The 18528-nt window shown below is 44.0% G+C and overlaps 1 protein-coding gene and 1 pseudogene across 3 annotated transcripts in view; one reads left to right on the top strand and one right to left on the bottom strand.

Moving 5' to 3' along the window:
* Nucleotides 1-858: 858 nt before the first annotated feature.
* RIMKLA (ribosomal modification protein rimK like family member A) overlaps nucleotides 859-18528 on the bottom strand; it is a 43441-nt gene continuing 25771 nt past the window's right edge. For 2 of the 3 annotated variants that reach the window (XM_047418484.1, NM_173642.4), the window contains 2 exons: nucleotides 14904-15107; nucleotides 859-10607 (listed from right to left, as the gene is read on the bottom strand). In XM_047418484.1, coding sequence (XP_047274440.1) covers nucleotides 10117-10607; nucleotides 14904-15107 — 695 coding nt within the window. In that variant the 3' untranslated portion in view covers nucleotides 859-10116. The remainder of the gene's footprint in view (nucleotides 10608-14903; nucleotides 15108-18528) is intronic. The other variant, XM_006710585.4, reaches the window with a different exon arrangement.
* On the top strand, nucleotides 12267-12739 carry RPS15AP8 (ribosomal protein S15a pseudogene 8; annotated as a pseudogene).

Here is an 18528-nt window from a genome sequence, read left to right as displayed (position 1 = left end):
TTTTATTTTGTGTGTGTGTGGTTTCAGCAAGTGGTTGGCATTGTGCACTCAACTGAGGAGGCCCTGAAAGAGGGGAGGTTTGTTGGGGAGAGATAAAAACATGAATTCAGCTTGAAACATGGTGAATTTGAGACGCTTATCAGACATTTGAAGAGAGATGAAGGGTGGGCAACTGGATATGCCATCTGACCTTAAGAAAAGAAGCCTGGGCAGAGCACGGTGGCTCACACCTGTAATTCCAGCACTATGGGAGTCCGAGGCAGGTGGATCACCTGAGGTCAGGAGTTCGAGACCACCCTGGCCAACACAGTGAAACCCCGTCTCTACTATAAATACAAAAACATCAGCTGGGCGTGGTGGTGGGCGCCTGTAGTCCCAGCTACTTGGGAGGATGAGGCAGGAGAATTGCTTGAACCTTGGTGGTGGAGGCTGCAGTGAGCTGAGATTATGCCACTGCACTCCAGCCTGGGCAACAGAGTGAGACTCTGTCTCAAAACAAAACAAAACAAAAAAAGAAAAGAAAAGAAGCCTGGGTTCAGAGATAAATTTGAAAGTATCATGTACGTTGTAATTAATACCAAGCAAATGGAGATCATGTAGGGATGAAACCCGCAGCTAGGGAATAGCAGAAAGCCTAAGGAAATGCCGGAGGAAACAACATTTAATGGAGAGGAGGTGAACCCAGCACAGGAGGCTGATGTAATTTCAGACTTACTCAGCCTACTCATGCAAAGAATTCCTATAATACCTTTCACCCAGATCTCCCAAATGTTAACATCTTACCACATTTGCTTTATTTTCTCTCTCTAGAAACCCATTATTTTCTGAGCCATTTGAAAGTAAATTGCAAACATGATGTACCTCTATCCCTCGATATTTAATGTGTATTTTCTAAAAACAAGGACACATTCTTACGTATTCTTATTAGAACAATCACCAAAATGAGGAAATTGACATTGATATGATACTATCAGGCAATACAGTACAGACCAGTTGTCTTAATAATGTCCTTTAGAGCAGAAGAAAATCCCTGGGCAGGCAGTGTGCTCAGCTGCCACTTCTCTTTAGTCAGAGGAGTGCCTTTAGATGTGACACAAGTGCTGCCACTCCAAGGTTCCCTGACCCATCTCATGAGAATTTCAGCCAGAATTTTCTAACAAAAGATGCTTAGGCCCTTGAGGAGCTCTAAAGAGCTGTGATTCACCAAGAGTACAGTAGACCTAAGGTTAGTGGAAGAGCGATCATTTTTGAGAGAAGCCTCTCACCAGATTTAAGAAGTGCCATTAGTGAAAGCAGCAGCTGCAGGAAAAGCAGCGGATACCAGCGTGATAGACAAGTGGGTGCCAGCAGCATGAAGCTGGGAGAGTCCTAGAGGGACACCATGTAACTCTGGGAAGTAGAAGGGGAAGTGTCACAGGCTTATTCTTTGAGGAGAGGAAATCCCAAGATCCCACAACTTGGAAAGGCATCTGCAGCCAGCCTGAACATCTCTCCACCTGTGCCCCTGCAGCATGGTTTCTGCCAGAGCCACCGTCAAGAGGGTAGGGAAGCCATCAGCAACCTTTCCAAAGTACTTCCTTTCTCACCAAATACGCTGGTCTACCATGGAGCTAAATGCAGTTCTCTTTGAGACAATGGGGGAATTTGAATACGGACTGGGAATTAGATGGTATCAAGGGATTACTGCTAATCTTTTTATATGTGGTAAAGGCAAATGGAAACGTCCTTTTCTGGGGAGTTTACTATTCTCTCCACTTTTGTGTAGTTTGACGATTTTCATGTAAGAGAAGAAGAAAGAAACATAGGCCACATTCCCCAGTGTTTGGGTTCAAGGACAATATGAATGGTACATAATGTCATACCCCAAATCATCCTCGGCTGCAGCAATCAAGCACTATCCCTTTGATGCTCTGACCTCAATTTGGACTCCCTGACCCTCAGAAGCTGGGGAATAGCCTTAGTTCAAGGGTCTTGAGCCTTGTTTTGACTGTTAGTCCCCCAGGGTCTTATCACCGCTTCTCCCAGGAAGCCTCTTGAAATGTCAGGCAAACACAAGTCCTGAGGGCCCTGCCTGACCTGTCAGAGTTCTTCTGGTGAGTACACAGATTCTTTCAATCCCCTGAGACCCCTTACTGCACCACACAGCCATTTTAAACAGCTTTCAGCTCTCACTTGCTATTTGAATCTTAATTCGAATGTCAGCCCGGGAGAGCACGCTGAGCAGGCCCGTGACAAGCTCACGCCATCTGCATTAGTATTTTCCTCCATCATCTTGACAGTTGAGAGTTGGCAGTATTACAATTCAGACGGCACTCTGCGTTTGAAAGGAAAATTATAGTTTTTCAGAACGCAGCTGGTGTGCAAGTGAATAGGGTGAAGTTTCTTCTGTGAAGGCTCTTCCTCATTTTATGATATGAAAATAATAAAATGTAGATTCAGCATGTGATTCTTACTTTACAAGAACCACCAAAAGGCACAGAATTTTGGAGACAAAGGCAAACAAAGCATTCTGTTCCATAGTAATAATTTTAATAAAAAGCAAAAACAGCAAAACAATCATTTATAAATGATTTCGTCTCTGTTGGAGAAGTTAACACTGTTATTGCTGTATAAACCACTTGGAAATGAGCTATTCTGGTGCCTAGTTAAGATGTATTCTTTTCAGCATATTTTCATTTTGCCAGTTAGGCAGGAAAAGCTACAGTCCACTTTCCTGGAGGGAATTTAGCTGAACTACTGCCCACAGGTGACAGTGAACTTTACAAATCACTCCAATAAGTTTAGTAGCAAAGTAAACATCTTTCTCAAGTGTTGAAATCACAGAAGTTAGACAGAACAAGCAGAGAAGCAGTCTTTTAGGTGTTAAACTTCATGCCACTTGTGCACATTACACTAGGACACTTGCTTCTGAGAAATACAACACAAATGCTACCTCCCTGGAACTAAGATGTTTCAGTGCTCACGTGTATCAGTTTCTTCTCTCTGTCTCCCAGCAGCAGTGGTGTGCTGACAAATGTTTAACAACCAGCTCTCGGGGAGGGGGGTCTTGATATAGAGTGTTTGCCAATCTCTGTGGTGTAAATACTCTCAATAGGGCCGATTCCCCAGCTACTGATGTGATGTCACTGAATGTTCAGGTTGGGAAGAGATGTGCAATAGCACGCCATTATATTGTAGCACACCATACCAATACAATAGATGTCAGTATCCTCAAGAACATAGATAATAGTAAAATAATTAGGAAGTGATGAGTTTTGAGTATTTATTACTGTTTTTAACATACTTTATTTAATTGCAGGTTAATATAATCTCTAATGGTCACTGTGGCTGTGTTTACCAACCAGCTTACAAAATTCCTGGAAATTCAACAATCCACTCTCATGGGCCAGTGCAAACCACTTCGGCACACCACTGGAACTCGGGACCTCAAGGTGGGACTAAGCAAACCAGGCACCCGCCTAGTCCTGCCTCCACAGTGACCGTTATCAGCTCTGCAGAATGATTAAGGGCCCCAGCTCTCCCCTTGCAGATCAGTGTTCCTTCTAAATAGGAGATTACGGGAGTCCCACTCCGGATAGGCCCAGGACAGCAGAATTTTAGCAGCTTTATTGGTTAGTTCCATCTGATCTCAGGGCTGTCATCCCTGCCAAGTCCAGATGGTGCTGTCAGACTATCAGAGTTCCCCACACAGCCCCTCCTTCCCCCAGCCTTCTGCACTCCCCTCACCCTCTATTTGACAGGTTTAATTCACGTCCCTGGCACCACCTCCTTCCATTTGATGCGAAGCCAGCAAACCTAATACAGGAAGAGCCAAAAAACCCAGGTGCTAAATCATCCAAGGTCAGGCTGCTTTCCAGGTCGGCTTTCCAGCCCCCCAGTTGTCTGAGGCAGTCTCTCCTCCAGGATTTTTCTTAGCCAAATACGTTCGCTAGATCTTGCACATAGCGTCATAAAATCTCAAGGATGGATGGGACCTTCCAGTCATTAGCCTGAACCACAGCATGCTTGAGCTACCGCCAGCCCTGCCCCCAGCAGCTCTTTTTCCCAGCTGTAAAGCTGCTGTCTGCCAGCTTTTATCCCTTGGCACTGAGCCATGATCACAAGAAGGCGATGCTTGTGTTGCTCACAGTGGGGGAAGCAAGAGGAAAGGAACCTATGGAAAGCCAGGCATGTGGTTAAGTGCGACACATTCAAGTTTGTTTATGTATCACATTTATAGGTGACAAAATTAAGGTTTAACAAGTTGAAGTAAAGTGTCCCTGGGTCACACAAGCTTTAAGTTACCTGGATTTGAACTGGATCTGACTCAGACTAGTACCATTCACATTAGCCCACGCTGCCTTCCAAAAGGTGTACCCCTGACAACGAGTGGTGAATATGGTCATTGTGATGCCTGGCTTGTGCAGTGGGAATTAAAAATGCATCACCTTAAGAGATGGCACTCGAATTCCGCTTGGGGAGGGAACTGTCTTCGTCCAGGAAAATGTTTTTAATAAGCCACCCATGGTAAAAGGTGAAGTCATGACGGTTAGGGTGTTGGCAGGAATCAAATTAAGAAAAGGAATGGCTATCCATCTGGTTGTATGTGAGAATATAAATGGAACTGCTCTGTCCCAAGGACAGGAGACAGGGACCACGTGGAGTGGAAGGTGAGTGGAGATTCCTCCATAGTATATAAAAAGAACATTCTATAAATGGGGTGCCGAGTCTGCACTGTTGTAGCATCTGCCATTCCTTCCCACGTCACTGAGACACACGCAGGCACACACACTCACTCGCTTGAATTTTGCTATGTGGAAATGGGCGAGGAAACTGAGCTTCATGTCTCAGCTGATGCATTGCAGGGATAAGACGCTATTTAAAATGAGGTAGCAGAAGTGTGGAGTCAGCAGTGGCTGCAAAAATATAAGTCTTTGAGAAATCACAGAAATCTAGAGGTTCAGAAACAGAGCCCAGTTATCAGACCTCTCTGGATGTCAAGAGGCAAGGAGCCCTCAGCTGACATTTGGGTTACAATAGGGATGAATCTGTGCCTAATGTCTGGCTGCAAGGGGAACGCACTGTGGAACAGAAAGTGGGGGGAAACTTTTGACCTTGTTGCTGATTGAAACTGGAGCATGTGCATCGAACAGGATTTCTTCTTGGGTGTGCCTAATGCAATAGGTTTAGGAGCTGCAAACCCTTGGTTTCCAGGACATTCTGCAGTGAGGGAACATCAGCCGAATTGGAGCCAAATAAGCTTTCAGTTAGCTTGGCATGGGCTTTCTTCCTCACATCCCACCACTGAAAGTGTGGGGTAGAGTTAAATGGTCTTGGCTGGTCTAAAGACGGTGCGGGCCATGAGCCAGCTTGCATCATGGAAATATACATGCCTTTGGGGCTCTCACCTAGAAGCCATCCAAGTGCTGAACCCTTGACAGCTGGCACATCAACACCGTGTTGATCCAGAACAGAGGCTCATCAGAAGGGGAGGAGGCGGAGGGTAGGCCCAGGATGGGAGCATGTGCTAGATTCCAGGGAGGGATGGAGCTACCTCTGGCAGTATGCCAAAGTGGATGAGGAATCAGACTGCCTGAGTCCAGCCTTGCTATTGACTAGCAAGTGAACATGGCCTCTGGAACTAAGTAAGATTCCCTACTTATGAAATGGGGGACTAGACTGGTCTCCAAAATGCTAATTCCATGGTCTCAAATGGGGATCATAAGCGACTTTCTTAGTGTTGCCCTGGAGCCCCAGAGAACATGAACCTCACAGCAAAATTACCAAACCAGGTTGGAATGCCAGCACAGGGCTTGAGACAGTGCATATTGGCACAGGAGCTGTACCTAGAGAAGGAAATGGAAAGGCTTAAAAGAAGAAAGTTTCCACATTCAGCCCTGTGGTTTTAGGAGGGAGGGCTGCAGAGTCTAGCCATAGACCTGGAATGGAGGCATGATTTAGTTTTAGGAAAAGATTATAACATTATAGCCCTTAGAAGAATCGTCTTCCAGGTAACATTTTAAAGTAACAATCTGTCCTGATCTTGAGTCTCAGAGGTACAGTCAAAAACAGTCCCAGATCTATGAACATTCACTTTAGGGACAGTGACAAATATGGCTATTTTCAGGGGCCTTCCCAAGACATCCACTCAGACTAATGGCAAACAGGCTTACCTCCAGTTGCAAAGGAAAATATTAAACTGTAGTGACTTGACTAAGGTTGGATTTATTCTCTGACCTGACTCCTTAAACTGACCTGCTAAGGCTATGCCTGCACACAGCACTGTGGTTCATTAGCCTCTGGGAGGGTCAGCTTTTATTTGGGTGGTCCTAAAACTCCCCAGCCAGCCGCTTACATCTTCCTCAGATTTGCATTCAGTGTTCTCAAGACCAGCATTCCTCAGGATTTAAAGAAGGGAGGAAGCACATCTCCCCCACTTCTCCAGGGTGGATGGAAATCCATGCATCTCATTATCTTTATGCAGAACAGCTTCAAAGACATCTACCTCTGATCAATACATATTCATGATTCTTTCATTAAAACAGCCCACAGAAGAGCCATTTTTTCCTCCTTCCTACTAGAATTCCAAATCATCCCAATTTTTTATTTCTTTCACAAAACTATTCCAGACCTTTCCCTTTTCCCTTTCCTCCTCTCCTGGTCCCCATGGTCATGGAATCTCCTTTTAGCTGGAAGCAATGGGCCTGAAATTGTGACACTAGTGGCTTATGATCTACTTATATTGTTTCTGAGATCCGAAAGACCTAAAGCCCCAAATCCTCATTCTGGCAACCCCATACCCGATCAGAAAAACAGCATGAAGACATTTTTCCCAAGTGCAGAATCGTATATTCTGAGTGACTGAGCTATTGGCATTCAAGTTTTGACCAGTTTCAAGATGCTACTACCAGATAATGGGAAGACCATATACAGACACTGCAATCTATGTTACATAAGGAAGACTTTGTTAGTTGGTATACAAGAGTGGAGAGTTTCAGGTTATATACGATACATCCAGAAGGCTGTCTGAATACACAAAGAGCCTTATTCCTTTCAGGTCTTAAGTTTCCCTGGCTGGAAGTGAGGCCTCTGAGAAGCTGCATTCCTTTCTCAGGGTACCCTACCACTGTTTGGTGTGCTAATGCCAAGAATGTGTGGCTTTTTTTTTTTTTTTTTGAGACGGAGTCTCGCTCTGTCACCCAGGCTGGAGTGCAGTGGCATAATCTTGGCTCACTGCAGCCTCCACCTCCAAGGTTCAAGCAATTCTCCTGCCTCAGCCTCCCAAGTAGCTGGGACTACAGGCGCCCGCCACCATGCCCGACTAATTTTTTGTTCACTGTGTTAGCCAGAATGGTCTCAATCTCCTGACCTCATGATCCACCCGCCTCGGCCTCCCGAAGTGCTGAGATTACAGGCGTGAACCACCACGCCCGGCCTGGCCTTTTTCTTTAAGGAGTGATGGGAAACTGTTATAAAATCAGATGTGGGAGGTGCTCTACTACCATTAATTTACATGCACCAGTCTCACTTACTTCAGCTTCAAAGAGGTAAACAAAGGAGGCATTTTCTCTATCTGAGTGAAACATGGAGACGCAGAGTTCCTGTGATTGCACGAGGTCAGCTGTTCAAGCGGAGAACCAGAACCAGGCTCTGGCTCTACACCCCATGTTCCTTCAGCAGGCCTGTGGCCAGCTGTGACAAGTATAGCCTGGCCACCTGGCTGAGGCTCACAGAGCCCACAGCCAGCATGGTATGGGAAATCCTGGATTGGGGCTGGTTGTGGTCCAGCTGTGATCCAGCTTTCTCCACTTCTAGACAGGGCTAGTGCCAGGCAATGAAGCCAATGACTACAGATGTCACTCACAGCTGGAAAATGGGCCTCCTTTGGCAAAGGAATCTGGAAGCACTCTCTAGCTGCTCTGCTCAGGCTGGGGCCCTGCTAGCCTCCTTTTAGATAAAGTGGGGAGACTAGATTCACACCAAACAGTGGAAATGAGGGAATGCAGCTTCCAGACGATCATCACTTGGTTAAGTTTGCACAGAAAGTGTAACCAGTTCCAGTGAGAACAAACCTAAAGCTGTCCGTCTTTTAAAGCCACCCTGAGTGGTAAAGATAAGGTACATATCTTAACCTATATAAAGGTGAAGTATTATTTTTCAACTGTACAAGACACATTACTAGGGTTACAGTTCAGTGGCATGCACCTTATGTTGGACTGCATTTAAACTACAACTGTGTAGTGTGACATCTCCATTACATGGCACCAAACATTTGTCAATTGCACAACTATTACTTGGTGAGATCTGGTTTTAACTACAATACTTTAAAAGCCAATTTCTATTTAAATGTGTTATGAAAAAATGCAATAGCTTAACTTTATACACATTTTACATTTATGGCAGAGTAAGTACGGTAATTTCTGCACCCGAATGGGTAGTGTTGCCTTTGAAGTAGTCACCTTGGGAAGATGTATGTTTATTCCAGTGAAGCTGACCTTACACAGAACATTCCTAGAACCCTCTTTAGAAACTGTCAACTTGTAAGGGTCTTCAGTGTTGGTAAATCTTTGTCCTTTAAGGGTAGATCTATTTTTTGAGGAATGATTTTTTTTTTTTAACAGCTAAAGAGCATTAGAAAATAAGTCTGCTAAATAAAATGGGTGAAGCAGCTCAGGATGATCTTGGTGGGCAGGAGGAGGGGTTGGATAAAACACAAGGTCTGACTATAAAGTTGTGAGGCCTCTTGCCTTGCATGGCTTCAAAGGTAATCCCAAAGGGGAACCCTAAGTGTTCTTGGCACATGCAACATCAAGAAAATAACTCCAATTATGCTAACTCTTGAGTGCATATGTTCTAGTGTATTTGGTTAAAAAGGTGGCTTTGTTCATTTTCAGTCATATTTCGTATAAGCAGAAATGGAAAACTCCATCTCTGTGATTTCTCCCAAGGGAAAGATCTCATCTACTGCTTAGAGAATTAAAATGAAAAGCACTTGGTGTCATGTCTACATTAGCCCCCCCCCCCGCAAAATGTGCAATGGGTAATTCCTGATACCTGAGTCTTCCCCGTTTGGAAAAGTGGGTAAGGACAGGTGTCTGGATCTTAGATAAAAGTAGAGTTTCAAGGGGATTGGAGTGTTTCCAATGGCTCCCATCTACTCAATAGACCTCCAACACCCACTCATACAAGAAAACCCCCTACAGCTAAGCAGTACACAAAGTTTCAGTAGAGGAGGGGAAGAATGATGATCTCCAAGTAGCTTTCTATGGTAAAAACCCACTGGCTTCTGGATGACAAGTGAACAGAGTCCATTGAAAAACAAAGTCCATGGTGTTAGATTCTAGTGCACGCTTAAGAAATAAACTGAGTGGCCACTAGCTCATTGAAGTGCATTTCCAGCTGAGGCCAAAGGCAGCAAAGGTGCAAGAAGCTGCTAGAGCTGACGTTAGTTGAAGCAGGGTCTATAAATTCAGAGTGGCAAAGCAATTTGTAGAAAGGCCCAGTTACAAAGCAGGACATTTGCCAACCTGTGAAGTCAAAGAACGTTCAATCTCACTTTCTACAAAGTGCTTCACTGAAAATGCTAATGAGGAAGCTCCCTAAAACACCATATCCTGAGTGTCGGAGAAATATGGTCAAGATGGTGATTGATGGGGAGCAGAGATCGATCCTCTAATAGTGTTTGAACTGTGTCTTTTCCAAGCATCACACACACACTTAGTGAAGAACCTATTACTGCAGTCACATTCCACCTCGTCTGCACATGCTTCCATCCCGTGGTTGCTTTTGAGTACATAATTCCAAGAGCCATTTTGAGCTAATGGGTTCTACTGCTAAAAGTCAGAAGCAACAGCAGAGTCAGTGCCTTAGCGTCAGCCGTAATATCCACGTGCTCACAGCAGACATCAGTCTCATACTGATCAGTCGGGACGTTGTTCTTGAGTGTTTTTATATTTGTCTTTGTAAAAACCACAAAGCTAGGCCATTTGCTTAAATCATCGTTAGAAAAAATGCTGAGTGCCCAGATGGGATTTCTAGTTTCTGTGCAAATGAAATCACATTAGTCCAGATTTTATTCACTCAAAACTACTAGGGAAGCAGTAGGATTTGGTTTAAATGCTGCCAAAAAGCAGGAATTCACTTAAGTTTTAACTCAGAAGCAATCCTGTTGTTAATGTTGTAGCCAGGTTCGGGCAGCATGGAGGGTGGGGCCCCCATTGTGCTTGCTGAGGAATCCCGGATCTCTCCCAGTTCAGGCTCACTTTCACTAGAGGTAGACCCACTGTTGATGGTATAGACGCTCTCTGCAACTCCCTGAGCTGAAGCACAGCCATCCGGCTCGTTCTTCTCCCTTGGACTCGACAGTCCTGGGAGGACAGCCATCTTTCCAGTCTGCCTATTTGGCAGCAAGGACATGGTATAGTCTGCAATGATCCCACCCACATCTAAGTTGCATGCCTGGTCAAAGGCTAGGAAGCCAACATTAGCATTTGCCTCACACACCACAAAGGAGCCATCGTCCATGATAAGGAGATCAATGCCACAGAAGTCCATGCCTAGGATGTTGGACACCTGAATAGCCAACTGCTTGCCTTGTTCTGTCAGCGGACACTTGACGCCCACGCCACCTGTGGGGAAAGCACAGTGATGTAAAGGTGACAACTGAGAAGTCAGATGACTCTTCAAAGAAGAGACAGGGATCTGCCCAGGAGGGGCAGAAAGAGAGGCTCGATCATTAATCACAAAAGGTCTGGATGGAAATCAGTACACCTTGGGAAAACAATACGGCCATTTTTTATCTAGTCTTAAAAATGCTGATTTCCTCTGACTCAGCCATCCTACTACCAAGGAAATAATCTTATATATGGGGGAAAAAAAGCTTTATGCACAAAGATGTTGATGGCAGTATTATTTAAAATACAAATCATGGAGCCAGGTACATGATGGGCACTTAATAAATATTCAATAAATATTGAATGAAGAAATGAAAAATTATAATCTAAATCTCTCACAATAGAGAAAAACAGTGTATTTTACAGCCATTAATAATAATACCAGCTGGGTGCAGTGACTCACGCCTGTAATCCCAGCACTTTGGGAGGCTGACGTGAGAGGATTGCTTGAGGCCAAGCGTTTGGACCAGGCTGGGCAACACAGTGAGACCCCATCTCTACAAAAAAATAAAAATAAAACTAGGTGGGTATGGTGGCTCGCTGTAGGGTTCCTCCCACCCCAGCTGCAGTTCCAGCTACTTGGGAGGCTGGGGTGGGAGGAACCCTAGAGCTCAGGAGTTTGAGGCTACAGTGAGCCATGATCATGCCACTCCACGCCAGCCTGTATGACAGAGTAAAACCCTGTTCCAAAAACAAATAATAATGCCCACAGACAGCTTGTAATTACATGGGAAAACAGGGGATTAAAGACTATACAATATGACTATAACTAGGCAAAAAGAGATTTCTCAGAAGAAAAGACTGTAAAGAATATGACACCAAAATATTAACAGTAGTTGTCTCTAAATGGTGGGGACGATAAATACCTTTTTCATTTGACTTTGCTGTATTTCCCAAATTTTCTTTTTTCTTTCTTTTTTTTTTTTTTTTTTTTTTTGAGAGACTCTTACTCTGTCACCTAGGCTGAAGTGCAGTGGTGTGATCTTGACTCACTGCAACCTCCGCCTCCTGGATTCAAGCAATTCTCCTCTTGCCTCAGCCTGCCGAGTAGATGGGACTACAGGCGCCCGCCACTACACCCAGCTAATTGTTGTATTTTTAGTAGACACGGGTTTCACCATGTTGGCCAGGCTAATTTCGAACTCCTGACCTCAGGTGATCCACCTGTCTTGGCCTACCAAAGTGCTGGGATTTCAGGTGTGAGCCACTGCGCCCGGCCATATTTTCCGAATTTTCTACACTGAGAATGTATTCTTCTCATGATTAGAACAAATAAAATTAACTTATTTATTTATTTATTTATTTGAGACAGAGTCTCACTCTGTCGCCCAGGCTGGAGTGCAATGGCACGATCTCGGCTCACTGCAACCTCCGCCTCCCGGGTTCAAGCGATTCTCCTGCCTCAGCCTCCCAAGTAGCTAGGACTACAGGCACATGCCACCACGCCCAGCTAATTTTTGTATTTTTAGTAGAGACGGGGTTTCACCACCTTGGCCAGGATGATCTCGATCTCTTGACCTTGTGATCTGCCCGCCTCAGCCTCCCAAAGTGCTGGGATTACAGGGGTAAGCCACCACACCTGGCCAATTTATTGATTTTTAAGAAGAGAGATGGCTCCTTCTTCCGTCTTTCTGTGCTGACAGAATGATGCATGTCAATGTCCTGGCTGATGCTCTCAAGAGCATCACCAAAGCCAAAAAGAGGCAAACGCCAGGTTCTTATTAGGCCATGCTCCAAAGTCATCATCTGGTTTCTAACTGATGACAAAGCATAGTTACGTTGGCAAATCTGAAATCACTGATGATCACAGAGCTGGGAAAATTGTTGTGAACCTCACAGGCAGGTTAAACAAGTGGGGAGTGAACAGCCCCAGTCTGATGTGCAATTTGAAGATCTAGAAAAATGGCAGAATAATCTGCTCCCATTCCATCAGTTTGGTTTCACTGTACTGACAACCTCAGCTGGCATCATGGCCATCATGGCCTGTGAAGAAGTAAGATGAAAATACACAGGTGGGAAAATCCTGGGATTATTTTTCTAGGGATGTAATAGATATTAATATTTATAAATAAAATGCCTCAATGGACCAAAAAAAAAGAGAGAGAGAGATATGGAAAGGACTGAGACAAAATCCTGTACCAAGGACAGAGACCAATTCCCCTTACTTTGCTAAAAAGCTAGGACTTCAGATTTCTCTCCAGTTAGTCTCCTTGGAAAGATTTAAGAATTGTATTCTCAGGTCGAATAACTAGTGTCTTTACCTTAACAATGTCCCTTCCCACCTATGACACTGTATCTAAAAAAGGCTATAAAACGGTTTTAAAACAGCTCACCAAGAAAAGCAACATGGATAAATTATAAAGCCACGTGGTTACTAATGAATGGATTTTGTAAGGTAACTAAAAAAGTCAAAATGATAACACACACACAAGGTTCAACACTTTGGCACTAAGCATGATCATGAAAATGGGCTGGGCGTGGTGGCTGACACCTGTAATCCCAGCACTTTGGGAGGCCGAGGCGGGCAGATCACAAGGTCAGGAGATCGAGACCATCCCGGCTAACACGGTGAAACCCTGTCTCCACTAAAAATACAAAAGGTTAGTCGGGCATGGTGGTGTGCACCTGTAGTCCCAGCTACTCGGGAGGCTGAGGCAGAATGGTGTGAACCGGGGAGGCAGAGCTTGCAATGAGCGGAGATTGTGCCACTGCACTCCAGCCTGGGTGACAGAGCGAGACTCTGTCTCAAAAATAAATAAATAAATAAATAAATAAATAAATAAATAAATAATAAAAATAAAAATACAAAAATCAGCCAGGTGTGGTGGTACACACCTATAATCCCAATTACTCGGGTGGCTGAGACATGAGAATTGCTTGAACCTGGGAGGCGGAGGTTGCAGTGAGCTGGGATCACGCCACTGCATTCTGGCCTGTGCAACAGAGCAAGACTGTCTCAAAAAAAAGAAAAGAAAAGAAAAAAAAAGAAAATGAGATAACATGTAAGGTACTTAGTAGTGTGTCAACCTGAATCTAGCATTTGACACCAACACATCACTTTATCACAATTATCTTATAATTATCTCTCTTTTTTTTTTTTTTAAGAGATAGGGTCTCACTCTGTTGCCCAGGCTGGAGTGCTATGGCACAATCATAGCTCACTGCAGCCTCAAACTCCTGGGCTCAAAGGATCCTCCCACCTCAGCTTCATGAGTTCAGCTGGGACTACAGGCATGTGCTACTGCACTTGGCTAACTTTAAAAAAAAAATTTGTAGAGATGGGGTCTCACTTTATTGTCCAGGCTGGTCTCAAACTCCTGGCTTTAAGTGATACTCCTGCCTTGGCCTTCCAAAATGCTGGGATTACAGGCATAAGCCACCACAACTGGCCCATGTCTTCTTTATGGGACCACGTGCTACCTGAGGGCAAAGGCTCTCTCATCATCTCTACATTCCCGGCATCCAACACATAATCTGTTCCTGGAAATGCTCAATGACTATCAATGAAAGAAGTGCCAGACAGTGTCTAAGCCTCTTTATTAGTCACTGGACTTGGTATACTCATATGGTGATTTAGGAAATAATAACTAGTGATTGTGATTTTTTTTTTCCTATCACCAACATATAAACTCATTCAGTGAGGTTGACAATAGCTTTCTGTGATGGGGACAAGAACTTACATCCCTCTTGAAGTATCTCCATTCAGTACAACAGATAACAAACTTTATCAATGGGTTAATGGGATGGGTTTATGCATTCGACCAAAGCATAAACTGTAGCTTTCTAATAACATCATACAAAAAGGAAAACATTTCCATTAAAATATAAAAGGAAAATATATTTCTCCTGTCATCACTTTAGACTCTTATTATTTTTTTTGCCTGAGCTGTTGCAACAGCTTCAAATCTCATCTCCCTGCCTCCCATCTTATGCCATCATTCCATCCTTTACCCAGATGGGAGTTTTTCTCCAACGTTGGTCCTCATGTCACTCCCTTTTTAAGTCTTAACACCTAGAGGACAGCGTTCAGTCCTCCATGTCCTGACACTCCTTGCCTGACCTCTGCCACAGCGCTTACACTTGTACGCTCCCCTCCAGGATTGCTTGCTGCCATAGGAAAGAGTTTGTTCCTCATTCTCATCTGTGAGATCCTGGTGTCTAGCAGAGGGTCTGACAAGACAGTAGGGATCGATATACATTTGCTGAATGGGTCCAAATACCCTAATAAAACCCTGTGCTTTTATACCTTACCGAGAGAGCAGTTGCTCTGCATCCGTCCATCAGTGGAGCAGCGAAGCATAGAGCCTATGACCTGGCCCCCTACCACCACCACCCGGATGTCCTTTCCATGGGACTCCTTCACGTACTTCTGGAACAGGTAGGGCACATCGTGGCGGATCAGATGGCAGATGTCAGAGAGGTGATGTTTATCTCTTGCCAGAAAAACAGCTTTTCCTTTAAGAAGAAAAAGAGCAAGAGAAGGGGTTAGAGAAGCCTCTGGACTCTGTACTTGCCATCTGGCCTCCTTGTCCATAAAGTCATCAGTTCTTTCTAAACTTGCCTCACTTTGGTCCCTTCTATTTCTCTGCTAGACTTTTGTTTCTTATCAAATGACCACAGAACCTTACTTTCCCTTAACTTTCCTCAGGTCCTAATACCCTCTCCCTCCACCATCACTCTTTTTGAAATGACTTAATGATTATTCCAGGAACACAGAGAAAGAGCCAAAATAGAATCCAAAGATCTAATCAATTCAGTGCCCAAAACAGTTAATTAGCATCTCCCATCACCCCCAGGATGCTGATTAGGCAGGATCCACATCTAACTCATTTTAAAAAAATTCTTCAGACCTAACACTGGGCTGGATGCACAGGGCAGATGCCAATTAATGTTTGTAGAACATAATTTGTTGAAAATACTTTAGAGAAATTCCAAGTCTAGATGGAGAGAGATCCCAAAAAAAGGTAGCACAGAGTGATATAACATCAACAGAGGTCTATGCATAATTCTGTGGGAGCTCAAAGGAGGGAAGCACTGACAGACATCCTTCCTTTTAGACATAAAGTTATTATTTGGCTATACCCATTTAATTCTGAAAGGAATGGCCTATGCCTCTATTGATCTCTGCAGAAAGCATTCCTTCTTGATTCTAAATTCTTTATTTTCTGTTCAAATTGCCTACACTTTTGTAATTATTTAGCATCAGCTTTTTTTTTTTTTTTTTTTTTTTTTTTTTTGAGACAGAGTCTCGCTCTGTCACCCAGGCTATAGTGCAGTGGCGCGATCTTGGCTCACTGCAACCTCCACCTCCCGGGTTCAAGCAATTCTCCTGCCTTAGCCTCTGGAGTAGCTGGGATTACAGGCACGCATGCCTAGCAAATTTTTGTATTTTTAGTAGAGATGAGGTTTCACCATGTTGGCCAGGCTGGTCTCGAACTCCTGGCCTCAAGTGATCTGCCTGCCTCAGCCTCCCAAAGTGCTGGGATTACAGGTGTGAGTCACCATAACCGGCCAACATCAGCTTTTCCATTGATATATTAGTTAACAGACCTGAGCAGAGGTTCTGATAAGTTTGCTCTGCAAATCTGACATGAGCATGCCCAGTCTGAACATTCTTTTCAGCAAATATGGAACAAAGAGATGGTTTTCCTAAGCTTTGTGTCACCATCTTACAAGGACTGGAACTCTTCTGAAGTCCTAATAAAAAGACCAGTCCCAGGCCAGGTGCAGTGGCTCACGCCTGACATCCTAGCACTTTGGGAGGCTGAGGCGGGCAGATCACCTCAGGTCAGGAGTTTAAGACCAGCCTGACCAACATGGAGAAACCCCATCTCTACTAAAGATACCAGATTAGCTGGGCATGGTGGTGCATGCCTATAACCCCAGCTACTTGGGATGCTGAGGCAGGAGAATCGCTTGAACTCGGGAGGCAGAGAGGTTGCGGTGAGCCAAGATCGCGCCATTGAACTCCAGACTGGGCAACAAGAGCAAAACGTCATCTCAAAAACAAACAAACAAACAAATACACCAGTCCCTAGTGGTACATAAAACTGAAAAGTAAATTCCAAAACATGTTATAACCAGGATGCAATCATTCCCAAGATGACTGGATCCTAGACACCTGACAGAGCTGGAGGAGTTCAGCCACGTGATCTGAAGATGTCCACATGGCAGGTGACAGGAGAGTGTGCAGGTAAGTGGGTGTCAATGTCAGGGAAGCTGGATAGGGCCCAGCAAGGGGTCACAAGAGGAAAATGGAGAGGCCCCAGCAAGTGTGGACGATGCAGCATCAGTGTTCCCTGTCTTCAATCAATGAGTGTGGGGCAAGCAGATACACATCTGATGCCAGGAGATCTGGAGATCTGGCTTCTGGCAACAGATGGCTGGGATTCAGGTATATGCACTGGGTTCTCCGGACATTAGGTAGGATTTTCAGCAGAGATGGGGGCTAGAGATAGGAACTGGGTTTCTTGGTTTCGGGTACAGAAGTTCTAATATGGGGGTCAGTCTGCAGTTAATAAAGGAGCCACAGTTTTAAGGCAAGAAGGAAAAAAGGAGAGAAAGGCAGTAAGATTGGTTAATCATGTACTAAGTGCCAAGCAGTTTGATTTTTTATTATTTCACTTATACTTCATGCTAGCCCTAGGAAGCCATTATAACAAGGATGGTTAATCCCATTTGAGGGAAAAAGGGTCCAATCTCAAAACTTACTATAAAGTTACAGTAATCAAGACAGTGTGGCTTGGCATATAGAACTATATCAAAAGAATAAAATTGAGAACCCAGAAATCAACCTTCACGCACATGGTGAGCTGATTTTTGACAAGGGTTCTAACAGCTTTTAGTGGGGGAATGAACAGGCTCTTCAACAAATGGTACTGGGAAAACTGGATATCCACATTCAAAAGAATCAAGTTGAACCCCTACCTCATACCATACATAAAAATTAACTCAAAATGTATCAAAGACTCAAAGGTAAGGGCTAAAACTATGAAGCTTTTAGAAGGCAACATAAATGTAAGTCTGTGTGGCTTTGGATTAGGCAAGCACAAAATGACATCAAAAGCATATGGAAACAAAAAAAAATAGACAAGTTAGACTTTACCAAAATAAAAAACTTTTGTGCATCAAAGATACTATATCAAGAAATGAAAAGACAACCTATGGGAATGTGAAAAACATGTTCAAACATGTTGTTATATATCTAATAAGGATTTAGAATCTACATTATACGGCTGGGTGCAGTGGCTCACGCCTGTAATCCCAGCATTTTGGGAGGCTGCGGTGGGTGGATGGCTTGAGTCCAGGAGTTTGAGACCAGCCTGGGCAACATGACAAAATCTCATCTCTATAAAAAATGCAAAAATCAGCCAGGCATGGTGGCGCATGCCTATAGTCCCAGCTACTTGGGAGGCTGAGGCAGGAGGATCGTTTCAGCCCAGGATGCAGAGGCTGCAGTGAGACAAGATCGCACCATTGCAGTCCAGCGAGAGCATATCTCAAAAAAAAAAAAGAATCTACATTATACAAGAACCCTTCAAACTCGACAATAAAAAGATTAAAAACCCAGTTAAAAAGTGGGCAAAGGATATGAAAAAACATTCCTCCAAAGAAGATACACAAATGGCCAACAAGCACATGAAAAGATGTTCAACATCATTAGTCTTTGGGTAAATGCAAATCAAAACCACAATGAGATACCATTTCACACTCACTAGATAGCTATAATAAGCATACATACATACATACTTACATAACAAATAACAAGTGATGGTGAGGATATGGAGAAATTGGAACCCTCAAACATTGCTGGTGGAAATGTAAAATGTGGTACAGCCATACAACAGTCATATTATTAAGTCACAAAAAGAGATAA

This window comes from Homo sapiens, chromosome 1 (assembly GCF_000001405.40).
Source record: "Homo sapiens chromosome 1, GRCh38.p14 Primary Assembly".
Lineage (NCBI taxonomy): Eukaryota > Metazoa > Chordata > Mammalia > Primates > Hominidae > Homo > Homo sapiens.
Note: the sequence above shows the minus strand (reverse complement) of the source record. Positions and strands in the feature narration are given on the sequence as shown.